General features: G+C 36.2%; 1 protein-coding gene across 8 annotated transcripts in view; it reads right to left on the bottom strand.

Moving 5' to 3' along the window:
* Positions 1-6,035, bottom strand: part of CCDC146 (coiled-coil domain containing 146) — a 172,590-nt gene that overhangs the window by 73,896 nt on the left and 92,659 nt on the right. The gene's annotated exons all lie outside the window — the stretch shown is intronic.

The following is a 6,035-nucleotide window of genomic DNA, read 5'->3' as shown; positions in this document are numbered from 1 at the left end:
TTGTCAAACATTTCCTCCTGACACTGCTATCCAGGCAAAGTCAATGATGTGGTCTGGATCTGTGTCCCTGTCAAAAATCTCATGTTGAATTGTAATACCCAGTGTTGGAGGTGGAGTCTGATGGGAGGTGACTGGATCATGGGGGTGGATCCTTTATGAATGGTATAGCACTATCCCCTTGGTGCTGTCTCGTGATAGAGTTCTCATGAGATCTGGTTGGTTTAAACTGTGTAGCACCTCCCTCTCCTCTCTCTTGCTTGTGTTCCTGCCTGGTAAGATGCCTGCTCCTGCTTTGCCTTCCGCCATGAGTAAAAGCTCCCTGAGGTCTTCCCAGAAGCAGATGCCTCCATGCTTCCTGTACAGCCTGTGGAACCATGAGCCAATTAAACCTCTTTTCTTTGTAAGTTACCCAGTCTCAGGTATTTCCTTACAGCAATGGAAACTGGACTAATACATTCTGCAACTCAATGTGATCCGCCTCCAACAACACACAACTCAGCCTATAGTTACTCAACAGAAATCACTTCAGTAGATTGGTGGGCCAAATTTAAGTATCAAAGAGATTCAAATCCCTGAGTAAAGCAGAAAATTCAACACCTGAGTATTTGAATCCTAACAAACACTTTTTGGTGAGCAAAAGAATAGAAGTTTAAAAATAACTAAATGGGTATTATAAAGTGTTGCAGGAAGTCAGGGACCCCTAACAGAGGGACTGGCTGAAGCCACAGCAGAAGAATATAAATTGTGAAGATGTCATGGACATTTATCAATTCCCCAATCAATACTCTTATAATTTCCTATGCCTGTCTTTACTTTAATCTCTTAATCCCGTCATCTTCGTAAGCTGAGGATGTATGTCACCTCAGGACCCTGTGATGATTGCATTATCTGTACAAATTGTTTGTAAAACATGTGTGTTTGAACAATACGAAATCTGGGCATCCTAAAAGAATAGGATAACAGTGATTTTCAGGGAACAAGGAAGACAACCATAAGGCCTGACTGCCTGCGGGGCCAGGCAGAAGAGTCATATTTCTCTTCTTGCAAAAGCGAATAGGAGAATTATCACTGAATTCTTTTTCTCAGCGAGGAACAGCCCTGGGAAAATAAATGCATTCCCGGGGGAAGCCTCTAAAATGGCTGCTCTGGGAGTGTCTGTCTTATGCAGTTGTAGATACGGGATGAAATAGGCCCTGGTCTCCTGCAGCGCCCCAGGCTTGCTAGGGTTAGGAAATTCCAGCCTGGTGAATTCTAGTCAGACCAGTTGTCTGCTCTTGAACCCTGTTTCCTGTTAAGATGTTTATCAATGACAATGTGTGCCCAGCAGGACATGGACCTTCATCAGTAATTCTAGTTTCGCCCTGGACTTGTGATCTCTCTCTGCCTCTCTGCCCTTGTGATCTCAATCTGCCTCTCTGCCCTTTGATATTTTATTACCTTTGAAGCATGTGATCTCTGTGACCCACACCCTATTCATACACTCCCTCCTCTTTTTGCTGGTTTTGCGGCTCAGGGGGCATCACAGAACTTGCCGACATGTGATGTCACCCCCGGAGACCCAACTGTAAAATTTCTTTCTTTTGTACTCTTTCTGTTTATTTCTCAGACCAGCTGACACTTAGGGAAAATAGAAAAGAACCTACATTGAAATACTGGGGGCTGGTTCCCCCGATAATAAAGTGTTACATTTAAAAGTTCTAAAGTTAGAGCCTCAGAATCTTTTAGTTTATGTACTAATGTGAACCAGTTAGCAACCTTATAAATCTCTGTAAATGCTATAATTGACTTGTAACAGAAATAGCTATTACCCATCATAATTTCATAACAGATTATCCCGGAATTTCCTTGGAAAAGGGTGGGAATATTCAGAAATTAACAGTTTTCCAAGAAAACTGTTTTGTATGATATTTAGAGACACAGTTCTTCAGCTTATCTTGGTTTTTTAAAAAGCAGATAGAACCATACATAACAAAGTATAATTTTAAATTTTTCATTTGATACCAAACTTTGATACCTAAGCAAAGTAGAAGGAAAACTTTTTTAAGTTTAAAAAATAGATTCTAACAAACAGTTCACCAAACACAGCTGTTTCTAGTTCACAAAATTGACCATTACAAAATATTTTAATGTGTTTTCTGGCAAACATAAATTGCCTCATTTCATGGAAATGTCACATTTCCAGTTGTTACTGATAGTTTATAACAGTTTAAGGATATATAAACAATTTCTATAGATTTCTACATCAGAAAAAGAAGGTAAGATAGTACTTAAATCTCTTAAAATATGTAAGATAGACCTTATTCATGTTGTAGTAGTATATTTCATGCCACAGATTGCAAATTAACAATCAACAGTATAAATACACTCTGCAGGTGCTTTTAGTGTGCACAAGTTTTTTTAAAAAATAGAGAATTCATTGGCAACACTCAAAAATTGGGGCCAGGCATGGTGGCTCATGTCTATAATCCCAGCTCATTGGGAGGCTGAGGAGGCAGGATCACTTGAGCCCAGGAGTTAGGGACCAGCCTAGGCAACATAGTGAGACCCCCATCTCTACAAAAAATAAAAAAAAATGGCAGTTATTTAGAAGGCTGACATAGGAGGATCACTTGAGCCTGGGAGATGGAGGCTGCAGTGAGTTGTGATTGTGCCACCTGGGTGACAGAGTGAGACCCTGCCAAAAAAAAAAAAAAGAGAATTGGTAGATTTTACCATAAAAATCTGAGTTTTCCACTTTTCTTCAAAAATTATTATGCTTGATGACACTGGATTCATATTCCACTGGATTCACTGTTGCAAATGCAGCATGACTTTCAGAGCTACCATAAGAGTACCCTTTTAAAAAGGGGCACAGTCTGCCCCATTCGTTCAATGTGTGCACACATACCAAGACAACTATTTGACTCACTCATGATATATTTATGGGCCTTGTGGGCATTTGAGATTGGGACCTTGCTTTATAATTTATATATACATACATATGTATCTATTGCATATAATATTTAATATATAAAATTTATATATAAATTATAACCTTATAAATTACAAAGGTTATAATTCATATATAGGTATATAAATATACACACATACCTACATACAGTCATGTGCTGCAAAATGACATTTCAGTCAATGATGGACCACATATGCAATGATGGTTCCATAAGATTATAATGGAGCTGAAAAATTCCTATTGCTTACTGACAGTGTAGTTGTCCTGACATTGTAGCACAACACATTGGTCATGTGGTTGTAGCGATGTTGGTGTAAACAAACTTATTATACTGACAGTTGCATAAAACTATAGCACAGTACAGTAATGTCCTAGGCCTTCACATTCACTCACCACTCACTGACTCACTCTGAGCAACTTCCAGTCCTGCAAGCTCCATTCACAGTAAGTGCCCTATATAGGTATGTCTTTTTCTTTTCTATTATATTTTTACTGTACCTTTTCTATGTTTAGATACATTTAGATACTTAAATACTTGCCATTGTATCACAATTGCATATAATATCAGCACAGTAACATGCTGTACAGACTTGTAGCCTAGGAGCTATAGGCTACACCATATAGCCTAAGTGTATAGTAGGCTATACCATCTAGGTTTGTGTAAGTACACTCTATGATGTTTGCGCAATGATTAAATAGTCTAACAATGTTTTTCTCAGAACATATCCTTCTTAAGTGACACATGACTACACCCATATAGAACTATATATTTATATAACTCTCTCTCTCTCTCTCTATATATATATATGTATATATAGTTAACAGGGATATATATGTAGAAAATATTTTGAAGTTGTAGTTGACTGACATTTTCCACATATATGTATATATTTTCACATATATTTATAATGTCATGGCTCTATTTCTAAAACATAAATATGTAGCTGAATTTCTATTTTATATATATGTATACATATGTGCATATACATACACACATATATATACATATGTGTGTGTGTGTGTGTGTGTAGAAAATGTCATTCACCTGGTTGAAAGAATGGCTCCCTGGTTCTAAAACTGTTGCACAAGCTTTTTGGAATGTCTTATTCCTTGGGATTGTGTCTGTCTCTCTTGCCCATCTCTGTACCTACCTGAGCATAACGTTATATGACTGTATCATTTGAGGTTTAGAACTTAATACTTTAAAATTCTAGAGATTTTCTTACTCTGTTTCCATATTAACCTTTGATAATTTAATGAAAAGATCATATAAACATGAATCTGATCCTTTGTTCACTAATCAAAATATTTTAAAATTATAGTAAAATATTTTGCTACTTGGATATTAATATGTACTTTCAATACAATAAAACACACACTGTAGAACAAAAAAAAGTTAAAAAGATTATGAAGACACTGTGAGAAAATGTGTTGGTCAGCTAAATGTTGTTAGGGCTGCAAAACAGGAAACATTCAGTTAACATGAAAACCTTTCTCTTATCTGCATATGTTATCCTTGGAGTTAATGATCCCTTTGGCACTGTACTTTATGAGCTTTGACAAAAAAGCAAATTATAATTTGTAAGGGAAATGCAGACAAATTCTGAACAACTTTTCCCAGCAATTATTTTAGCAAAGGTTTGAGCCAAATAGGAAGTAAACATCCAGTAATGTAGACAAATGAGAAAATTATTTCCAGGCAAGTTAAGCACCAGCAGACTAGGGATTCTAAGAGAGGAGTTATCCAGACAAAAATAAACTTGAGAAATTGCATAATTCTTCCTTCTGGTGAGATGGAAGACTGACAATTCCATTAAGAGGGGTCCATTTCCATCTTTTTTTCACCACTATATTCCCAAACTCAAGATGGTTGAGAAACTTGAGCAAGGTCACAAAGCTGGCCTGAGGCTTTGTAGGGACTTGATTCTGTTAGTGAATCAGTAACTATTTTTTATAAATGAATAACATAATCTTGCTGATGGCATAGAGGCAGTGTGAAGCGCATTTAGAAAACTTTAGGTAGTCCAGGTTGGCAGGAATAAAACACCATCTGGGGGCGGACAGTATCCAAAGAAGAATACTATGTCGAATTAATGCTGTGAGGAATGGAGGGGGAAGAAGCTAATTTCACTATAACTTACTGTATAAAACTAAGAGATAATGGTCAAAATTACAAAAAAGAGGGGACAAAGGCATTATATAATGGTATGAATATAAAAATCACCATTATAACAAAAGCACAAATCTTCCTAAATTACAGAAGCTATACTATGAATTGAAAAAAGACTATTTATAAATATAAAGAAAGGATAAACCTTAAAATGAGTTGTTACAGGAAAAGGGAGGAAACAAGGTGGGGGGGTTAGGGATACAAGCTAGAATTCTTTAAATATACTTTAACAATGTAGTACTTTATTAAATTAAGAAGCAATTATTAGAATTTGAAAAAAATAAACCAATTGAATATAACTATGTATCAAAATATAATTTCATGGGAAGGAACCATTCCAATTTGAATAGGAATCCTAAGTAGATTTTGCCCTAAGGACAAAAAGACCTGCAACTATTTTTTTTATAATCACATTGTTGGTAGTAGTGTTATTCTGAAACAGTTATGTGTAAACTGTGGGATAAAGTCAATGAATAATTACATAATGTCATTGAAAATCAGGATTTTGATGTGGAGAAAAGAGACATCTATAAGACTGAAGAGGTTAAATAAATTCCCTGTGTAATTATTGACTTTGAATTGGCAATATTATGATGTATTTTATATATACATAATCTATCTTTCCTAGTTCTGTCCATTAAAAAGGCATAGAAACAAAGATTAACCTAGCAGCAATGAGTACCTCTTACTCCAAGATTCTAGTCTCTAAATACCATTTCCCACTTAAAGAAAAAGGGGAGGCTCCTTTGGAGAAATGACTGATTCCAAGTTTTGAGCATGGAAACAAATGAGCCTCCAATGCTTCTGTCATATCAGAAAAGCAAAAAATCTACCCAAGACTACTAGAATCATGTCAAAGGGATTTGGAGTCATGTCAAAAGGCTCCCACTACCCAAAAAATGGGCCAGGAGGACT

Source organism: Homo sapiens, chromosome 7 (assembly GCF_000001405.40).
Source record: "Homo sapiens chromosome 7, GRCh38.p14 Primary Assembly".
NCBI lineage: Eukaryota > Metazoa > Chordata > Mammalia > Primates > Hominidae > Homo > Homo sapiens.
The sequence above is the reverse complement of the archived record's forward strand: the minus strand, read 5'-3'. Positions and strand labels throughout refer to the sequence as shown.